This window comes from Homo sapiens, chromosome 9 (assembly GCF_000001405.40).
Source record: "Homo sapiens chromosome 9, GRCh38.p14 Primary Assembly".
Classification (NCBI taxonomy): domain Eukaryota; kingdom Metazoa; phylum Chordata; class Mammalia; order Primates; family Hominidae; genus Homo; species Homo sapiens.
The window spans coordinates 69,178,682-69,201,308 of NC_000009.12; the positions used below are offsets into that span (position 1 = coordinate 69,178,682).

The 22,627-nt window shown below is 42.4% G+C and overlaps 1 protein-coding gene across 15 annotated transcripts in view; it reads left to right on the plus strand.

The window, feature by feature from the left end:
- TJP2 (tight junction protein 2) overlaps positions 1–22,627 on the plus strand; it is a 133,945-nt gene that overhangs the window by 57,418 nt on the left and 53,900 nt on the right. The window contains exons 1-2 of one of the 15 annotated variants that reach the window (XM_011519209.3): positions 16,163–16,166; positions 17,028–17,029. The exons of 13 other annotated variants lie outside the window; for them this stretch is intronic. The gene's annotated coding sequence lies outside the window, so the exon portion shown is untranslated. Of the gene's footprint in view, positions 1–6,405; positions 6,524–16,162; positions 16,167–17,027; positions 17,030–22,627 lie in introns of those variants that run through there. One more of the 15 variants, NM_001369871.1, reaches the window with a different exon arrangement.

The window sequence follows — 22,627 nt, forward strand, 5'->3', positions numbered from 1 at the left end:
ATTTGTAGAGCTAGCTGTTTGTTTTAACGTCTGGCCCAATTCTCATTCCTTTCTCTGCTTCCACAAGCCATTCTGCAGTTTTTAAAGGTCTGTTGGTATGATATTTTTGATATGATAGAGTGATAGGGGAGGAAGTATTTTGACACTGATGAAGGACATCACTGTATTATCAAGTGACTCTTGCTCATGATTCATTGCCGAAGAATGTGGACAGCCAAACAGCCTCACCTGTAAATGCATTTAATTTCTCAAAGTCTTTCAGAAGAATGCCAACTGGATGAGTTTTTTTTTCTTATTTTTTTTTTAATATGAAGCTTGTATTGGTCTGTAAAATAGGCTTTAACAAGGATTTTCGTAGGAACAGGAAGCCTTGAGGTAGAAAACAAGTATCCCTGCTTTGACCTAGAGAGATGCATGCTCATGGCAGGCGAATGAATCAAGGAGAAGAGAAAATACTGTTTCAGTAGACTCTCTAGTGATGTGTGTGTTCACACCATTTATGAGAAATCCTAAGCTTTCAATTAGTAACTTGTACTTTAGTCATTTAAAATCAGCACAGATGTTTGTTTAGTGCCTCTGCCAGATGGTTAAAGTTAAATCAGGTTTTTTAACCTGAAAAACGTAATGTAGCTTTCCTTAACCATTTACACACCATTGTATATTGCAGACCATAGTCAGATACATTTTGTTATAATGAATGTTTATTTTACCTTTTAGCTCAATTAGAATATCAGTGGTTATGGTTTCTATTTTGTTTTCCTACAGTTACTGTATGGGGGTGCAGTAACAGCGGTGGTGGTGAAAGTAAGTTACTTTTTTCTTTTTCTTTCTTTTTTTTTTTTTTTGAGACGGAGTCTCCCTCTGTCGCCCAGGCTGGAATGCAGTGGTGCGATCTCGGCTCACTGCAAGCTCCACCTCCCGGGTTCACGCCATTCAGCCTCCCCAGTAGCTGGGACTACAGGCGCCCGCCACCACGCCCGGCTAATTTTTTGTATTTTTAGTAGAGACGGGGTTTCACCATGTTAGCCAGGATGGTCTTGATCTCCTGACCTCGTGATCCACCCGCCTCGGCCTCCCAAAGTGCTGGGATTAGAGGTGTGAGCCACCGCGCCCGGCTGAAAGTGAATCTCTTAATGGATCTTCCATGAATCAAATATTTGTGTTTTAGTAAGTTAGGCTGACCAAAAGATTTCGAATCATACCTTTAATCATGGCAAGGATCTTATGTCACATTCTTGAGTACACATGTTCACTAAATTTTACCTATATGTGTATGTGAACATGGACTTCAGAATTAATTAGTGTGGTAATTATTATTTCTATTGTAGACTTTAATCAGCCATATTAAATATATGCATTATGTTCACAGAGAAAACATGGTATCATCTTTGGAAACTTTACAGTATGCTCTATATTATAGATACCCTATATAACTATGGTACTAAACACACGAGTTAGTGACAAGTCAGGCATTTGGAGGGAATGTTTGTAACCCATTGTGGGAGAGAGTTATTAGAATAGTTATTCTTACTGGTAGGTAACAGTTATGGCTGTAATGAATAGAATGTGACTAAAATCCAGTTATGCCTTTGCCATCGTATTAAAAGCTTTGGTGGAGACGTGAGAACATTGCAGATACTTTGGATTTTGTCACTTGAGTTGAAGGTAAACAGAGAAAACAGTACTTTCTAGTCATCAGTAGGAATTAACTCTTCCAGGACATGTAGCTTCAAGGACCTTCTAGGTTCTTCTGAGGGGGAAATAATGTTCCACTTGGGGCCATTTTTTTCCATTTGTTGAGAGTCATTTGTTTTCAGAGTATTAAAGGAAGTGTTCCGAGTTCTAGGTTGTGTTTCTTTGATGCCTACTAAAGCTGAGCACACCTGAGACCCTGGGTGGAGCTCTACAATGGGAATAGGAGTAAGTAATGTAGGCTTCGAGAGACAATCATTCTGCTCTCAGTCCTTGGAAGACTGTTCCTAGGTATATATGGCAAAGCAGATGAAATTATTTGAGGGAATTAATTAGCAAAACTAAACATTTCTGTTTTTGAAAGGAATGAATCATTTGGAAGGAACTTCCTGGTGAGCTCAGTTTTAGCAGCCTGGTTTCTGCGTTACCCTTCTGCAGTCTGGCTGAATCAATTGTGTTCTTGCCTGTGATTGGTGAGGATGCACATGCTAGTATTTATTCTAGCCCTTATCACTTCCCATCAGCCCTGAGCCCCTCCCTGGTCTGAGTCATCTTGGTAACCCCAGAAGCTAACAGAGCACCAACACATCCACTAAACGTTGGACTGACTTGATTTGGGGCAGGCTTGTTGTATAAGCTAGTAGGAATAAGAGACTAATTGAGAAATTAGGACAGTGGATTCCTGACATTTATATAGTGAGTAGATGATCGTTTGTTAGAATTGCGAATTTCATCCAGAGAATTTTGTCCAAAAAAAATTATAGAATTTCATCTAGACCATTTTTGTAATGGCATGGAAGCAGCATTAGCTGCACCACTGATTAGCTGGGTGGCTTTTGCTGTCTTGTGACTCTAGTTTGCAATTTCTTTTTTTTTTTTTTTTTTTTTTTTTTGAGGTGGAGTCTAGCCCTATCGCTGAGGCTGGAGTGCAATGGCCCGATCTCAGCTCACTGCAACGTCTGCCTCCTAGGTTCAAGCGATTCTCCTGCCTCAGCCTCCCAAGTAGCTGGGATTACAGGCACACGCCACCACACCCTGCTAATTTTTTGTATCTTTGGTAGAGACGGGGCTTCACCATGTTGGCCAGGCTGGTCTCGAACTCCTGAGCTCGTGATCCGCCTGCCTTGGCCTCCCGAAGTGCTGGGATTATAGGCATGAGCCACCTCGCCTGGCCTAGTTCTCAGTTTCTTTATCAGAAAATGAGTAGTTACAGTTGATCATCTCAAAGTCTTTTGTGCTTAAGATTCTGAAGGTTTTGAAGTTTGAGTATAAAGCCTAGAGAACATTCTAAATTATTTCCATTGGTTCTTCTCATCTTAAAATGTTTTTGTGCTCCTTAAACTACGTTTGTGTTTGCTTGCTTGCTTTCTTTTTTTTTTAGAGATCCAGTGGATTATCTCTGAAAAGCATTTTTTAAAAAGACAGAGTCCAAGAGTGGCTGGTAGTTGTTTTGCTCATAAAGTGATGGAAAGATCTATTATTCAGTTGCAGCTTAAATTATGTACCAGCACCACGTGTGCTGGATTCTCTTCCTTACTTTGCAGCTTAAGCCAGCAACTGCAACCATCTTGCAGAGCTTCTTGAGAATCCTTCTTCCTCTTCCTCTTCCTCTCCACCCCCATGGACTTCTCCCCGGGCCTCATTGCCTGTGACATACGCTTGGAAGGAGGGGCAGGCCTGCAGCTGGGAGCCCTTTCTGATTTGTTCTTCACAAATGTGTTGAAGATGAGCCTACTGGTCACTGCTGCAAAAAACCACATTGTTCACTGGTGTAAAATCACTGCTGTCATCTGAGTTTCAGCATAACTTCAGGCATGTTGGAGTTTTTCAACGTCACCTCAGGCAGAGCACTTTGCCTTCCTTGGGCTGGTCTGTTTAGTGTCTGGGTGAGTTTTAAGAGAGGAGAGACATTGTGGCATCTTAGACACTCACTGAAATTTTCCAGAAATGGAGCTGGAAACATTTGTGCGTTTCCTTCTGGTGTTATTGTTAAAGCCTAAAAACAAGGGCAAGTGGCAACACATTGAAATGAAGAAGCCCCAAGTTTGCAACACATTGAAAGGAAGAGGCCCCAAGTTCGTTTTGAGCCTAAATTGAATTTTAATCAAAGGTCTGAGAGAAATATTTAGTCTACTTATACTATTTAAGTGCACAGTTTGGCAGATGACTTTGGGCAGTGAAGGATCTGGAAGAGGCAGGAAAGGTAGACTCAATCTGCCAGACTTAGAGCTAAAAAAATTTGCCTGGTATGTTTCCATGAAGAAAATTTTCCTGTAGAAGCAGTGGCACGACCTCTGTTACAAGTCTGCTTATTGATAATGAAGCTTTTTCTGTGTTATCAATTTCGTTGAATTTATATGTATGTATATACATATACACACACACAAATCTCAAGTAGAGAGCTTGATGAATTTCTTTTTTTTTTTTTTTTTGAGATGGAGTTTCACTCTTGTTGCCCAGGCTGAAGTGCAGTGGTGCCATCTCGGCTCACCACAACCTGTGCCCTCCAGGTTCAAGCAATTCTCCGGCCTCAGCCTCCCGAGTAGTTGGGACTACAGGTGCGCACCACCATGCCCGGCTAATTTTGTATTTTTTTTTTTTTTAGTAGAGACAAGGTTTCTTCATGTTGGTCAGGCTGATCTCGAACTCCTGATCTCGGGTGATCCACCTGCCTCAGCCTCCCAAAGTGCTGGAATTACAGGCGTGAGCCATTGTGCCTGGCCAGGGAATTTTATTTATTGTGGTAAAGTACACATAACATTAAGTGTACCATTTTAACCATTTTAAAGTATAAAATTCAATGGCATTTAATACACTCACAGTATTTTGTAAACACCATCACTCTCTAGTTCCAGAGGTAGGTGAATTTTTACATGAATGTATTCACCTGCATGATTACCACCTAGATTAAAAACTAGAATTTTCCATCACTCTGGAAGGTTCTCTCTTGCCACTTTTCCAATGATTACCACACCTACCTAAAAGAGAACTTCTCTTCTGACTTCTCTCACCGTGGAACACTTTTGCTTGAACTTGGGAGAGGACCCATATATAAATAAAATCAACATTTTATGTCTGTCATCTTTCACTCAACCTAACCTCTGTGAAATTCATCCGTATTTGTTGCGTGAGATTCAGTAGTTCTTTTTTGCCACTGAGTCGTATTCCATTTATATGCATCTGTCACATTTGGCTTATCTCTTCTGTTGATAGGTATTTGGGTTATTTTCAGTGTTTTTGCTATTATGAATAAAGCTGCCATGAAAAGCACCTACACATTGCCTTGTGGACATGTACACCCATTTCTCTTGTGTGAATTCCTAGGACCATAGGTTAGGGATTTTTTAAAAAACTTATTTTAGATTAAAAAAAATATTTTTTGAGACAGTCTCACTCTGTCACCCAGGCTGGAGTGCAGTGGCATGATCTCAGCTCATTGCGACCTGTGCCTCCCAGGTTCAAGTGATTCTCCTGCTTCAGCCTCCCAAGTAGCTGGGATTACAGGCATGCGCCACTACACCTAGCTAATTTTTGTATTTTTAGTAGAGACAGGTTTCTCTTCAACTCCTGAGTTCAAGCAGTCTGCCCACCTTGGCCTCCCAAAATGCTGGGATTATAAATGCGAGCCACCACGCCCAGCCAGGTTACAGATGTTTAACTTTGATTCTTTACCTCTGAAGTCAAATAAACCTGGGTGTGAATTCTTTTGTCCTGCCACTTGCTTGCTTGACTTTGAGCAATTTACCTTTTTCTCATGTTCAGTTTTCTCAGTTGTAAAATAGGCCTACCCTATCAGTCATGGTTCAGTCAAGAAGACATGTCATTCTAGCTATTTCAAGGAGAAGGGGATTCAATACAGAGTATTAGTTGCCTTCAGGACAAAGAAAAGGCGAGATGCGCAAAAAATGGAAGCCCACCGCTGGCTTTCTGATTTGCCGCAAAAAAAGTTAGAAAGCTGCTGCCACCCAGAGAAGACTCAGAAGGTCTTGCTTGACCTTCCACCTTCTCAGCATCTCCAGCCTTGAGGCTGGTGAAAGGGCAGGGAATCTGGACATGCTGTAAAGCTCATGTCTGAGGAATCCAACTTTTGCCTGCTACTGCTGCTGTCTGTAGGAAGAAGAAAAACAAATGGCTTCTGCTTTCCTTCATCCTTCCAAATCTCAAACACGTGTACCTCGCTGGTAGAACCCTGTTGGCAAGAGAGATGGGGGATCTCTGGTAGAAACAGAAACTCAGTGCCAGCAAAGAAGAAATGGCATAGATGCCACCTGGGGTTGCTTTGAGGTGCTCAGTAAATGGCAGTGGTTATAATTTATTATTTTCATCATTCCTCAAGAACTGCTGCTGCAGTTCAGACTGATTTCTCTCTCTCTCTCTTCTTTTTTTTTTTTTTTTTTGAGACGGGCTTGCTCTGTCACCCAGGCTGGAGTGCAGTGGTGCCGTCACAGCTCACTGCAGCCTCGACTTCCCTGGCTCAAGTGATCCTCTCACCTCAGCCTCCGATTAGCTGTAACCACGGGCATGCGCCACCATACCTGGCTAATTTTTAAATATTTTGTAGAGATGAGGTCTGTCTATGTTGCCCAGGTGGGCCTTGAACTCCTGGGCTCAGGCGATCCTCCTACCTCGGCCTCCCGAAGTGCTAGGATTATAGGCGTGAGTCACCACGCTTGGGCAGCAGACTGATTTCTTTTTTTTTTTTTTTTGAGACAGAGTCTTGCTGTGTTGCCCAGGCTGGAATGCAGTGGTGCAATCTCAGCTTACTGCGACCTCTGCCTCCCGGATTCAAGCAATTCTCCTGCCTCAGCCTCCCGAGTAGCTGGGATTACAGGTGGGTGCCACCACACCCGGCTAATTTTTGTATTTTTAGTAGAGGCAGGGTTTCACCATGTTGGCCAGGCTGGTCTCGAACTCCTGACCTCAGGTGATCTGCCTGCCTTGGCCTCCCAAAGTGCTGGGATTATAGGCGTGAGCCACCGTGTCCGACCCAGACTGATTTCTGTAACGGATGTTCATTCTTTTCACTTTATAGTCACATGGATGCCACTGTAAGAGCTCCGTGTCACATAAGGTGTTGTTTTTCTGGAAGGGCCTTCCAGATTCTGTATCTATTGCTCTGTGATTCTAGGTACTTTTCTAAAGGTATAAGCTTGAGAAATTAGTTTTCAAGTCTGTAAGTTAATGTAGAGCTGAAAGGTGACTTAATTCTAAGAGTTGCTGCTTTAATGTATAATTTTATGGAACCTAATGAGTGTTTTCTTTTTAAAGTCATTCCACTTTATTATTAATAAAATAAAAGGTAATATATAAATCTGGCTGATAGATGGGGTTACTTTTTTCCCTGTCTTTAGCTTCCTTTGTGTTCTGATAAATGAGATGGAAGATTTTTATCATATTTTGTACCTCAAATCTCTCGCGGAGGGAACACTGTAGTCTACCAAAACAGCTGGCAGAAGTGTCTGTCCTATTATAAGTTTATTTTATGAAACATGAGCTATAATGTAGTCCTTTTTTTTTTTTTTTCTTTTTTTGGAGACGGAGTCTCGGTTGCGCCTGGCTAATTTTTTGTATTTTTTAGTAGAGATGGGGTTTCACCGTGTTAGCCAGGATGGCCTCGATCTCCTGACCTCATGATCCGCCTGCCTTGGCCTCCCAAAGTGCTGGGATTACAGGTGTGAGCCGCCGCGCCCGGCCAATGTAGTGGTTTTAAGACATTTAAAAATCTTGAACCAATGTTGGCAACAGCCTGTCTGTAATGATGTCACATGTGGAAAGAACCGAGTTTTTCTTAACTTTAGAATGTGAATTTTTTCCTCCTTCAAATACTTTTTCCTATAACCCAGACCTATTTTACTTTCCAGGGACCCTACTATTACTGCCCTAAGGTAATTTGCTAGAAATGGAGTGGTCAAGATGTATTGATTAACGTTTTAGGCATACTTCTGTAGTACTACTTCCGAAGGCTCCTTGCAGAGAAATTTGAAGTGATAAGGAAGGCAAATATTCGAAATGGAAAGATAAGTATAACCAGTGACTATTTCAGCCACTGGTTTAGCAGTTCAAGTGAGCTGGCTGTTTGTAAAGCTTGCTTAGTAAATGAATGTGCTAGAAATATATTGACAGAATTTGGTTTTATCTCTTTTTCTCCAGACTTTTAGTCGGCCAGGGCTAACAATGGATGTCCAAACAGTTTACAGTGGCTGATACACAATGCACAAAGGGCTTCACTGTTTGGAGACTGGAAAATAGAGCCAGAGGGGAGCTTCTTATGGGCATTGACCTAATTCACTCCTTTTGGCAAAAATGCTTGGTTTTAAATCAATGTATGTATTTCTGACCCAAATATCTATAAATATTTCAGCTAGTAGTGTTACAGCTGGAGGAAGGGACCCGTGGTGTTGCTTCGTGTATTTTGATTTGACAATATTCTTTAGAAATAAATTGTCAAGTGAACTAATATTACACAAAAGTTAGGGAAAGTTAAGAGAGGCAGCTGAAATTCCATCAGTTTCCTCCTTAGTCCCTGGAACCTCCCCACAATCAGGAATTTGTTAGTCACCTGGTTTTTAAAGATAAATTTCTCTGTGGGCGTTTCTGCTGAGAAATGTGGGGAAACAGGACTGGGCTAAAAATAAAATTAGTTCAGGCATTGCTAAACTTCTAAGTATCATGTTTGTGATGTACTTTTCCAGGAAACATAAATTGGCAATATTTTTGCTCCTTTTTACTACCACAGAAAGAATATTTGCAGTCAGCATGCACGGCCTGAAAGAATCTCTCTCGCCTATTAATAGAACAGAAGGAACATACACATGTCTATGTGGGGGAAAAACATCTCATTTGGCTTAGTAGTAAGCTCCAAATAACAATTGCATTGTTGTTCTGAATTGTCTTTGAGTGTGATTGGATGATTAAATATAAATGTTGACCTGATTGGATTATATCACAGCAATGAACTGTCCTGAAAAAACAGCTGTAACATACCACTCCAGACTGTTACCAGACTTAGTCGGCTGGCTTTATATTTGTGTTGTCAAAACTGGGATGCTGTCATTTCTGTTTCTCTGTCTCTTTCGTCTGTTCCAATTTGAGATATACTGACTATGTTAGTGTAGTCTGCTACATGGATAGTCCTTTATCTTTCAGCAACATAAGCAACATAAGCTTTTTGACTGAGACGAGCGTAATCAAAAGGAATGCTGGGAAACAGTGAACTGTAAAAAATGTCCTCAATTAGATACAGGCTTCAGTGCATGGGTTTATCCTTTCAGAAGATCGGTGTGTTTTCAGTGAGGGTCTAAACCCACTGGCCTGGATTCCACCTCTTGTTGGATGGGTGGTCAGTTTTAACATTAGGGGGTGTTGATTGTGAGCTCTTGAGAGCAGGGCTGGTTCTTTGCATTCCTAGGTAGGCATGATGTAGAGTAGTTGCTCAGTAAATAGGGGAAGGTGAAAGGAAGAGAAGGGAGAAGGTGAGTCTCAAAAGACTGGAATGTGATAAGCACACGTTTATCACACTGGGGGTGTATTCTCTCCCTTTTCTTAGAGTATTCCTTGCCTCCTGAAAAAAGCACTTTGCAGGAAATATGGAGATCTTCTGAACCTGTGGCTTTGTGTTATTGGACTGAGAAGTCCAAAATGTGCATTAGCGGAGCTTATAGAACTGCTCTGAGAATGTGTTCTTGAGTTCTACAAATATTATGGGGTGCGTTGGGGGCTGGCTCACTCCAGCTCAGTTCCCATGTGTTAAGTGGAACTTCTGATCTGTTGAATGCCTAACCATGACGGAGCCCAGGAGACAAAGTAAGGTGTGGTTTGTTTTGCTGTAAGACCACGTTTGGTTAGCTTTTCTCTAGCAAAGCTGGGGAAGGAGATCACAGGGCTGATGTGGTGGTAGGCCCTTGGTGTAGATCTCACTGACTTTTCCCAGTCAACTAGGAGTAAATGTTAACCCTATTTTATAGGTGGGAAACGGAGGCTCAGAAACATTAAGTAAATTGCCCAGTGTCACACGGCTTGTGTGACAGGGAGGGGATTTGAGCCAAGGTCCATTTGATGAATTTGAAACCTGTAGATTCTGTCAATTCCACCAGTCTCTGCTTTTTAGAATCACAGTGGCAAGAAAATAGGAGAAGCTCAAGGCCCTGTGTTGATTATTAGGAGTTTAAACATCATCGCTGAAAGTGCATAGAAATATTTGTATTCCTAGAGAATCTTAAGTAAAAGTAACATATCAATGTTGTCAAGAGATGTCTTCATTCATCAGAGACCTCTGTGTGTTCATTACTGTATGAGACCCCAAAGACTCTAAGTTGCCTCTAAGACACAGCCTTACAGGGAGGTATTAAGTGATTATGTATACAGCTAGCTAAAACCACAACTTTATTATAGAAATATTAAGAATATGTCTTATCATGTGAGAGTATTCTTTCTTCAAGTCCATAGCCTCCAGTTAGAAATGGCTGTGTTGTCCCATCAACCCCTTCACTCAAAAACTATCATTAATATCAGGAAAAACTTATGGTTACAAACTCCTGGGTTATAGAATTGGAAGGAAAAACTTAGATATGCTGTGTTTGGGAGCTTGCCTTGAGGATTGGAATTCCATTGCAAGTTACCTTGGGGTCAAAGTACATCCCCTAAAACATCAAATACCTCCAAGAGGTTTTAGGCTATCAGACAGCCACACTTTAATGTGGAGTAGACTAGTCAGCTTTCTTCTACTATCTAACTGACACCATACACATTGTTAAAGAGATAATTTTGATTGGGAATGAAGATAGGGAATTTTGAAGCCAGAACATTCTGGTGATGGAGCAGATACTGCCGAGATGTTGGCCTCGGGACAGCCTGGAGGAGGAGGACACTGATAAACAGAGCAACCAGCCCAAGGGGTGGAAAGACCTAGGAAGTCTCCACATACAAATTTTGCTTCTTTCCTGTTTCTCCACTGAACCCTGGGAAGGGTGCTTATTTCTCTCCTCACTGTCTTTCCCCAGGACCCAGAATTGATAGGTTAGTTGAGTTTCTGTGGGCAGTCTAAGGTAGTGTTACTATTTAAAATGTTAGTAACATTTTCAGATTCACTGAGATTCTTGCTGAGTGTGGTGGCATATGCCTGTGGTCCCAACTACTTGGAGACTGAGGCAGGCAGGAGGATCGCTTGAGCCCAGGAGTTGGAGGCTACAGTGAGTTCTGATTGTCCTGTGAATAGGAATAGCCACTGCAGTCCAGCCTGAGCACCACAGTGGAGACTCCACTTTTTTTTTTTTTTTAAGTTTAAAAAAGTTAAAAAAAAAAAAAGACAAAGAAAAAGGAAAGTTGATTTTTGGTTCTAACTCAGTTGTGACAAACGGTGGATATATGGTTCTGACCACATTCTAAATTGGACTTGATGGTGGGCAAGGGAAACTTCCAATGCCTATCCCCTCACTTTAAAAAAACTTCTCCTGGGCCAGGCACGGTGGCTCATGCCTGTAATCCCAGCACTTTGGGAGGCCGAGGTGGACGGATCATGAGGTCAGGAGATCGAGATCATCCTGGCTAACACGGTGAAACCCCGTCTGTACTAAAAATACAAAAAGAAATTAGCCGGGTATGGTGGTGGACGCCTGTAGTCCCAGCTACTTGGGAGGCTGAGGCAGGAGAATGGCATGAACCTGGGAGGTGGAGTTTGCAGTGAGCCAAGATGGCGCCACTGCACTCCAGCCTGGGCAACAGAGCGAGACTCTGTCTCAAAAAACAAACAAACAAACAAACTTCTCCTGTAGCAGTTTGCTTTGAGTTGTGGGTGCCACCTCCCTCACTGTCTTTTTCTGAGGGTACATAAATAAATTGCATCCTAGCTTGAGATCAGGAGCAATGGTTTTTAGTTCTCTGTGTCCAACACAATTCTTCTACACAGTGTCTTGCCCAATACATGTGTTGGTAATACTGACAAACATAGTTAATCTTCTTCTTTGAAGATTATCTGAAGCAAGATTTTGACCTTAGGTCAGCTTCCCCTGAAGTATGTGATTGGAAACTGAACGAGTTCAGATTTTAGTTTAGGTAAAAATATAACCAGAGAAGTTGCTACCAAGCATAGTTGACTTTGAGCTGACCTAACTTTTGGATTATGTACTCACTAAGAACTTACCTCTTATTAATTAAACAAATACAAGGAAATAAATAACCCAATAAAAACACTCAAAACAAGTTTATCCCCAAATAGTGTACTTGATGCTAAGGACAGACCTAAAGTTTGTTGAGGATAGAAATGAAAAATGAGGCAAAAGAAACCAGGAATTGAGATGTGTGTGTGCCTGTACCAGCACCCGTGTGAGCCCCTTGCAGGTAACGACCCATGGTCCCTGCACATCAGTCTTCTGTTACTAAGTTTTGCATAAATTGAGTCTGGTGGTTGGCAAGCTACATATAGCCAGCTGCGTGTTTGTTGTTTTTTCTGCCTGCTAGCTAAGAACTGTTCTTGCATTTTAAATGGTTATGTAAGTATCTATATGATCTCCGTGATTTTGCCTCTTGTAGTGGCAAGCCTAAAATATTTATTGTCAGGCCCTTTGAGAAAATGTTTCCTGGCTCCTGCCTCAGACCTCCTGGAAGCAGGGTGTTGGCTTGATTTGTCTCCTGTTCTGCAATCTGGGAATAGTAGATCAGGATGCTGACTTGTGGGAAGATGCTGGCTGCATGAGATGCCCCTGTCTGCAGTCACTCATAGCTTGGAAAAGCAAAAAGGAAAAAGGGTTGGATCTGAGCACTGACAGACAGGTTTGCTTCTGGTTTCAATGTAGTAAGGTGACCTGATAACAAGGGCCACTTGAGAAGTTGCAAATGCAGATTTCCTCCGTGTTAGGTGGTGACCAATAAAAGCATATTTTGTTTTTAGGATGTAGAAAGGCTATAAAACTGCAATGTCTTTGTATCATCAAACATTTCTGTGTTTCTGATGTTTCAGATGTTCCTATTTCTCTGGATTGCAGGATTTCAACTTTGCAACATGTACTGTTGTGTTTCTGAGTTGTTGACTATTTCAGTTCCAAACAGTTCGTTATTTCCTGTCAGAGGAAACTTCAGAGTAACAATAAAGTGCTGGTGTGGCTTCAAAGGCTTGGAGAAATGAAAAGCAGTGGAGAAATTTTGTGAGGTTCCTTTGGCTTAGAAGGTTCAGAAAGGCTTTGAGCGAATGAATGTATGTATCAGTCACTGTTACTCCAGGTCCGTTAGCTGTTTCCAGACCTTTCTGTGTCCTAAAAACAAACATCATTTTGAGGGTGGGGACTGTGTCCTATGTTGACAGGTCTTTGTTTTCAAAGTCTGATGTACAATAGAGACTAAACGTTCAATGACTGAATGCAGTTCATTTTTAAAATTTTTTTTTTTTTGAGACAGAGTCTCACTCTGTTGCCCAGGCTGGAGTGCAGTGGCATGATCTCAGCTCATTGCAACCTCCACCTCCCAGGTTCAAGCGATTTTCCTGCCTCAGTCTCCTGACTACCTGGGATTATAGGCACGTACCACCACGCCTGGCTAATTTTTGTATATTTAGTAGAGACAGGGTTTTTGCCTTGTTAGCCAGGCTGGTCTCGAACTCCTAACCTCAGGTGATCCACCTGCCTCTGTCTCCCAAAGTGCTGGGATTACAGGCGTGAGCCACCATGCCCAGCCGTATGTTTTAAATCTTATATTAAGCTTATACCACTGTTGATTGCCGTTGCTACAGTGGGGCTTATATTAATATTAGAAACACCCCTCATTTGAGTGGTACTTTACAGTTTATAGCAACCTCTACATAAAGCTGGGCATGGTGGCACATGCCTGTAATTCCAGCTGCTTGGGAGACTGAGGCAGGAGGATTGCTCCAGCCCAGAAGTTTAAGACCAGCATGGGCAACATAGCAAGAACTTGTATCAAAAAAAGAAAAAAAAAACTTTCATGTTAAATTCTCACTTGATCCTCACCAAGAACCCTGTGAGGTGAGTGTTATTCACTGGATGCTTAGAGAACCTAGAGATCATACAGCTGGCTAGTGCGTACCAGGAACTTGAACTACTTATAAACTGGAGCAGTCGGAGAAAGCTTGGTGTGTTTGACATTGTCTGTCTCTTGGTCTCCAGGCCCCAAGAGGAAGCAAAAGCCTAATTCATCTTGGCAAATGCTGTAGAAGTTCTTGCTTGGATTTTCTTTCGCTAGACAGTTTTTGGTGGTGGTTTGTTGCTCTCCTTCAGATAAACATTTCTTGATAGTGCAGTTTCTTCCTTCAATATGTTCTTATTCTGGTGTGTACATCCGTTTCTCAGAATGTTTAGTAAACATTTCTGTTGCATACCCTAATGCCAGTTTCTTACCTACTCCTCAGTAGCGTGCTGCAGCAGTGGCTTTGGGACCTGGTGTAGACATTATGGGTTGCTTTATTCATTCCTCACAGTGACAAGGGGATCTTGATTGGTGCTAAGTCCTTGGATGGTTCCCTTGGCCTCAGTGACTCTGAGAGAGCCATCACTGCAGGTGTGATCAGTGCCAGGGTCTTCCTTTCTTCCTTCTCTCTCACTTTTTTTTTTTTTTTTTTTGAGATGTGGTCTCACTCTGTCACCCAGGCTAGTGTCCAGTGGCACAGTCTCAGCTCACTTGAGCCTCCTGGGCTCAAGCTGTCCTCTCACCTCAATCTCCTGAGTAGCTGGCACTACAGGCGTGCGCCACCACACCTGGCTAATTTTTGTATTTTTAGTAGAGACAGGGTTTCACCATGTTGCCCAGGCTGGTCTTGAACTCTTGAGCTCAGACGATTCACCCACCTTGGCCTCCCAAAGTGCTGGGATTACAGGCATGAGCCACCGTGCCTGGCTTTTATTGTAATTTTTAAAGTCTATTTCTAATTTCATCTAAATTATGTTTTGAAATTTTCAATTCGTAGGGAACCGGCAGTCTCTCCCTTTTTATTTCTGCATGACTGCACCACCTAGTGGATAATACATCTGTTACCAGGCAGTGGCCTTTGATGATTTCCTATAGCTACAAATTCTACAAAAAGGAAAATTGGGTGCCTTTTTATGCTTTGAAATCACATATAATTTCTGCCAGTAATTTTTGTTTCTAGGCAAGTACGGACTTTTTGAGAGGAGCTTAATAACGTTTAATTCAGAATTAAAAAAAAAAACGTCAGCCCATACCTGAAGTTTCCCGTGTCACCAATGGACTAAGGATGCAGACTGTCAGTTTCACTCAGTTTATGTGATAATGGCATACAAGATAGAATAATGAGGTCTTTTTCTAAGTTTAGAAACAAGGCTATTTCAAACACCTGAACTTTTTTTTTTTTTTTATAACTTGCTTGAATTTCATCTGCTGTGTTTTATTAAGTCAAAAGAATTAGGAAGGCTTGTTGATTTTTGCATGGCTTTGGCTCCACATTTGATACAGGAAACCTCACCTTTCCCCTCCCTGTCTCTTGTCTTTGCTGCCCCCTGCCTGGATGGAGTATGTTCCAGTATGATGGAGCAATTGTTTCTTTTTGTCTGTTGATTTCCATTAGGTGCAGTGGGCATTGGTCATTGTGCTAAGTATACCATGCAAGAACACATTCAGTTATTACGTTTATGGTATTTTAAATATGTAACATACTTATGCAGTTGAAACCATAAATTGTAAGATTTTTAGTCTTGTCCATAGATTAACGGTTTAAAATAAAATTATTGTGTCTCTTACTGACAGCTGGTTAAATCAGTATTTTCAAAGTATCAATTTACTAAGTTTTGTCATGTGCCTCTATAAGGAATTCACAGTCTTCCTCTGCGCTCCCACAGCCTTTTTATTTTTCCTTCCCAGGAAAAATTTTAGAGACACCAAAAGGATTCTTAAAGTATAAAAATGAATTTCACTGTTTTTGAAAATAAGTACTATTTTTTTCTTAATACCTGGCATTCTGCTCATGGTTGCAGCACTGTAAATTGCTGAAAGTTATAGGTCATTACACATGAAGAGGCTTAAAAATGCCGTTTGATCTATAGTTAACTACAAAATATGGAGGGGGAGCTATATGCACACAGTGTCTGCCATAGCATTAGTTATACTAGCAAAAAAAAGGAAATGGCTTAAATGACTGCTAGGGATATGGTTAATTATATAGTAAATATTGCTATTTACAAATTTAAATTAACTAAAATTAAACATTGCATTCTTCAGTTGCAGTAGCCACATTTCACATGTTCAGTAGCCACATGTGGCTAGTGGTTACTGTGTTGGACAGCACAGCTATAGAACATCGTCACCATGGTAGAAACTTCTGTTGGAGAGTACTGCTAGACAGGTGCTTCTCAAACATTATTTTCCCCGTCACCTCCCTGATGGGAGGTGCTTCTCAAACGTTAATGTGCATATTAATCACATAGGGGCTCTAGTTAGAATGCATATTTTTATCAGTAGGTCCAAGTTAGGGCTTGAGATTCTGTATTTTTAACAGGCTCCCAGGGGTTGGCTACGTAATACCCAAAGGGTGGGGTTCTTGCCTTTATTCTCCAATTCTAATAGGAAAGGCATGTGTTTGAAGCTCAGGACTCCGTATGTAGGCTCACTGGCTTTATGGGATTAACCAGGCTCATTGCTAGGTGGTACTAATGTGTCCCTCTTTTCTGTGGGAACCATCATCTGATGGTGCCCCAGGTCTGGGAGGGAACGATTGACCTTGTGTGTTTCCTATGGGGCCAACCTTGATGGTGACATTTAGCTGAGCAGCTCTAATAATTGTTTTTTCAACCTGCCTTTTTGACAAAGCCGTTTATGATTATCTTTATCTTGGTGCCTATTATGGGGGTGGTGGTTTGTATGTATGTTTGTTTTTTTAAAGTGAAGCTATGTTTTAGTGTTATATAAGTTTAGTCAGGTTTAAAATTATAGGGTACACAGGGCTGTGCCTGTGTTGCCAAATTAGCACCTTCCTTTTGGCTTATTAATGGCTTCTTTGTAATTACAAATAAGAATGATCTGTTTATAGCTTAGCTTAGTGTATCAGAACTAGGAACATAGAGGTCTTAAATGTAACTATCAGCTGATTTTTTTTTTTTTGGTCTCATATCTTATGAAAATTGGACTCATGCAAATTTGCATTCAAATTGTGACCAGGCACCTGTTAGCTGTGGGGCCTTGCCATGGGCAAGTTCCTTGAGATCTCAGGCCTTCTATTTTTGTATGTGAAAAAAGCAGGAGTAGGGTTAGGGTATAGGGTTTTTGGAGGATTAATAGGCAATAGCCATAAAATACTTAGCACGGTGTCTGGCATATTGTTAATGTCCAATCAGTGATGATGTGTTTCAGGCCCCCCCTTTTCCATGGTGTTCACAAAGGCGTAGGCATTAGGGAGCTTGTGCATATATACCAAAGCTGACTGTTCAAACAGCCAGAAATAAAATCCGACTCGACTCCCTTTCTGCACCCTCTTCTTACCAACTCACTGCAGAAGACTTATTGGGCTGTGTTGACTGGACCCAGGCCAGTGGTGTGGAAATAGCTATCATGCTTGTGAAGATGTTCTGAGTTGTCAGAGTGATTGAATCCATGATTGGTCTGGTGCCCAAGCACCAACAATCATGTTTTTGTTTGTGTGTTTGTTTTTTAAGAGACAGGGCCTCACTCTGTCACCCAGGCTAGAGTGCAGTGGTGCCATCATAGCTCACTGCAGTCTCAAACTCCTGGGTTCAAGCAGTGCTCTCTCCACAGCCTCCCAATGTGCTGGGATTACAGGCATGAGACACTGAGCCCAGCTGGGATTTCTTTTGGTGTGAAGGCCAGTGATCAGTCACTAGTAGGTTTTGGAAGGCACAATAGGTGTATAGTGGAGAGGCAAGGTTCTTCAGTGGAAAGGATATAAGCTTTCTAGTCACACCAGCCTGAGTTAGAATCTGTCCTCTGCCACTTTTTACTTGTATGACCTCAATCAACTTACTTTACTTCTGACTTCAGTGTCCTTTCTGTAAAATGAGTCTATTAATAATGATATTGATAATAGCTAAAATTGAGCATGTACTATGTGCCAGGCATTACCTTGATTTCTCTACATGCACTGTCTGATTAAATTCTCACAACAACCTTAGAGAGGTGGGTCTTGTTACTGCTACTGCCTCTGCTTTACAGATGGAGGAAACTGAGGCAAGGAGAAATTAAGTAACTCGCCCAAGGTAAAGGGTGGAGCATGGATTTGAATCCACACTTTCTGACTACAGACTCTACGATGTGATCTTTTTTTTAAAAACAGCTTTATTGAGATATAATTCATATACCATACAATAAAAGTGTGCAACCAGTGGCTTTTAGTACTGTATATTCACAGAGTTGTGTGGCCATCACCACAATTCATTTTAGAACATTTTCTTCACCCCAAAAGGAAACTGCATACCCATTAGCAGTCACTCCTCATTTCCCCCAAACTCCCATAGTCTTAGGGAACCAGTAATCTTTCAGCCTCTGTGGATTTGCCCCTCCTTGACATTTCACATAAATTTGTCATTTTATGTCACATAATTTGTCATTTTATGTCTGATTTCTTTTGCTTGTTTTATATATATATGTGTGTGTGTGTGTGTGTACACACACACACACACACACACACACACACATGTTTTCTGGAGGCAGAGTCTCACTCTGTCGCCCAGGTTGGAGTGCAGTGGCACAATCTGGGTTCACTGCAACCTCCGCCTCCCCAGTTCAAGTGATTATCCTGCTTCACCCTCCCCAGCAGCTGGGATTACAAGTGCCACCACACCTGGCTAATTTTTTGTGTTTTTAGTAGAGATGGGGTTTTACCAGGCTGGTCTTGAACTCCTGAACTCAAGTGATCCACCTGCCTCGACCTCCCACAGTGCTGAGATTACAGGCGTGAGCCATCGTGCTTGGCCCTGCTTATATTATTTTTAAGGATCATCCATGTTGTAGCATGTGTAGATACTTTGGTCCACCTTATTGTTGAGTAACAGTTCATTGTATGGATATACCACATTTCGTTTATCCAGTCATCAGTTGATGGACATTTGGGCTGTTTCCACTTGTTTGCTATTTTAAATAATACTGTTATGAACATTTGTATACAAGTTGTTGTGTACACATGTATTTTCAATTTTCTTGAGTTCTGTGATGTACTTGTTGGTTTTGTTTTTCTTTTTTTCTACCATGTGTTCGTAATGCTCTTCTGAGAGGAAGAAAACAGACTTTCTTACTTGGGAGTGGTCAGCTTATTTGCTGCTACAATATTAATGATGGAAAACCCTTATCAAGAGTGCTTATCCTGTGATGGGTACTGAGCAATGCTCTCCAGAAGCATTACTTTATTCAGTTCTCAGAATTCTAATAGGGTAGGGATCTTGACCTCATTTTGCAGATAGGCAACCAAGTCTTACCAAGTGAACTGTTCCAGATCACAGAGCTTGGAGAGTGTGTAGGGGGACTGAGCTTAGACCCAGGTGTGTGTGACGGCCTCCAGAACTCCTGCCACTGTGTTATGTGGACACCATTGTCTACCTCCCACTGGAAGGTTTACCAGCCTGGATTTTACAGAGTGCTTTCATGGGGTTTGCCTGGTTTCACCCTGTGAAATGGGTGATGATGCCATCGTTTGATGAAGCAGCAGTGGAATTGAGTGAGCGCCCAAGCTCATGGGTGAATTGAGGCGCAGTCTTGGATGGAGGTCTGTTTTTGGAGTTTAAATTTATTGCTGTTTGCATTTCAACACAACTGCTTTGAAAGCTACAGGTTGCCTCAGGCACCCTGTCATCCTTTCCCAATTCTTTTTTTTTTTTTTTTTTGAGACTGAGTTTCACTCTGTCACCCAGGCTGGAGTGCAGTGACACTATCTCAGCTCAGTGCAGCCTCTGCATCCCAGGTTCAAGCGATTCTCTTGCCTCAGCCTCCAGAGTAGCTGGGACTACAGGCATGTGCCACTACACCCAGCGAATTTTTTTATTTTCAGTAGAGATGGGGTTTCACCATGTTGGCCAGGCTGGTCTTGATCTCCTGACCTCAGGTCATCTGCCCGCCTTGGCCTCCCAAGGTGCTGGGATTACAGGCGTGAGCCACCATGCCCGGCCACCTTTCTCAATTCTTTATTATCTATTTAAATGCACGCTAAAAAATTTACCTTAGGTAAATAAAGGAGAATGTGGTTAAAAAACACAACTCAGTAAACCTGGCACTCTTCAGTAGTAGGTCTGGGATCTAGTTGTGTTGATTCTGGTGACCTATCACAAACCCCTCTCTAAGCTTATTGCTTTTTGCTGTTAAACTTGGTCATAAGCAAGCTGTGTCCATTGTGAAGTGTGTGCTGTGAGCACATCGCATACACTAGATTTAATCATCCACTGCCGGCACTCAGTGCATTGTGAAGGGAGGGTAAGGAGCTGGTGAAATCACATGTGAAACTGAAATACTTGTGGAATAAACGATGAAAGGGTTTTGTTTGTAAAACAAACGCTACAGAAAGTATTGTTGGATGCGGTGGCAACTAGTTTATTGCTACCAAGAGGGGTTTAAGTTTGAATAGACCACAGGTAAGTGCCCTGAAGCCAAAAGGACTTGGTTTATAATGTTAAAAATTATTCGTTTTTGGAAGAACAAGAGTTGAACTCATTTTCTGCCTTCTCTGGGAAAAAGCATTTCCTGTTTTGTTATTAGACAGCTGTTTCAAAGTTTTGTCCAGTAAGCAGAATTTTGACTAAATTCTTCACAATAGTTAAAACCAATTTCCTGGGGGCAGGTGGGGAACTATAAAAGTCCTCTTTTCATCTGGAGGTAGGTTTACCTACCAGCCTAGGCCAGCTAGCTGTTTCTTTACACTATCCCTTTCTAAGGATTTGAGTTCGTTTGTAAAATGACATAGCAGACACAACATAATACCAGAGGGGGCTGAACGTGGTGGCTCACATCTGTAATCCCAGCACTTTGGGAAGCCAAGGCAGGAAGAGTCTCAGGAGTTCGAGACCAGCCTGGGCAACATAGCGAGACCTTGTCTCTACTAAAATTAAAAAAAATTAGCCAGGTGTGGTGGCATGTGCCTTTAAGTCCCAGCTACTCCGGGGCTGAGGCAGGAGGACCGCTTGAGCCCAGGAGGTTGAGGCTGCAGTGAGCCCTGATTGTGCCACTGCACTCCAGCCTGGGCGACAGAACAAGATCCTGTCTCAGACATACACACACACACACGCATGCACGTACGCACGCACCAGAGGGAAACATCATGCAGAAAACCATTGGCCCATTTATTGGATGGTGTCCTCCCGAAGTTTCACATCTGCTGTTTGGAGCTACTGAGAACCTGGCTGATTTCATTTAGTGCTCCCTCTGTCTTACTTTGTCTTTCCTTCCTTTCTTTCCTTTCTCCCTCCTTTCCTTCTTTCCAGCTATCCAGTAACATGTATTAAGGACTCAGCATGTGGAAAGCACGCATGACATTGTTCATGGAGACGAGGGTCTGGAGTCAGGCAGCAGCTCGGATCCCATCTCTGACAGTGGTGGGCTGTGTACACTCTCTGGCCTCAGCTTCCCTATTTGTAAAATGGGGATGGTGGTGCTAACTCACAGGGTTGTGGGCATTCAGGGAAAAATTGTATATTTAGTACTGGGTGTGGTGCCCTGCCAAATGTTAATGACTTCCTTCCTCTCCAGTTTTCACACTTACCTTGTCTCCCATTTCTGAGGTGAATATGCATTTTAAGGCTCCCAAGCCATAGATTAAGCTGTTTTGACATGTCTGTCCCTGCTGAGAACGTGAAATCCTGTGTGTGTTATTAAACAGTTTACTGCCCGGCCGCACTGAGTACTCGCAATGTCTTGAACACCCTTGCAGGTTACCCCTCCTGGCTCTGAACGGGCTGTTCCCTCTATGCAGAATGCCCACCCACCTGACCAGTTAGTCATCCTTCAGCATGGAGCTGTGGGAGAGGGAGCCTCCCTGTGGTTGGGACATACCTCCCTCCACCCCAGGCCTCTCATCCTCAGTTAACAACCCGCCTGTGCCATCAATTACACTGTTTTGTGGTTTTTTACACCTTTTTTTCTAGACACAGGATCTCACTGTATTGCCAAGGCTGGAGTGTGGTGGCATGATCATAGCTCACTGTAGCCTCCAACTCCTGTGCTCAAGTGATCCTCCTGCCTCAGTGTCCTGAGCAGCTAGGACTATAGGCACATGCCACTGCACCTGGCTAGATTTTAACATTTTTCTTTTTGTAGAGATAGGATCTTGCTTTGTTGCCTAGCCCAGTCTTGAACTCCTGGGCTCAACTGATGCTCCCACTTCAGCCTCTTAAAGTGCTGGGATTATAGGCTTGAGCCACCATGGGGGCTGGCCTCGCTTCACATTTTATGTAGTTGCTATAACCCCACCACTCACCCTGCTCCAGCCCATGTCACCTTTTCTCTTTCCTAAATGTACTAAGCTTGTTTCCCACCCCAGGGCCTTTGCATTTGCTGTTCCCGCAGCAATCTGGAGAGCTGTTCAGATTTTCCTAGGATTAATTCTTCCCAGTCTGCCATCCCATGGCACTTATTACTACCTGAGATGATGATATATATTGACTCTTGTCTGCTTTCTCTGCTAAAATCCTCCCTGTGAGGAAACGAGTTTGGCACATATCCCCTGGCAGCATCTGACATGGCATAAGTACTCAGGGAGTATATGTCGAATGAATGAGCCTCTTGGTGGGCTCTTGTACTTGCACTGAATTGTAATTGCTTGTTTACACATCCCACCTCCCCACTGGGCTGTGTGACTTCCTTTGCATCATAACTTGGGGTGATTTGTCTTTCTGTCCACAGGGCCAGGTGCATGGTTGCTTTTGGGTCTGTAAGTATGGAAGCTAGGAATCTTTGAGAAGGCACATCCTTAAACCCATAAGCTCTTCTCATGGAGGTAGCTGTCCACCACAAAATGTCCTTCTGATGCCATTGGTAGAACAAGTAC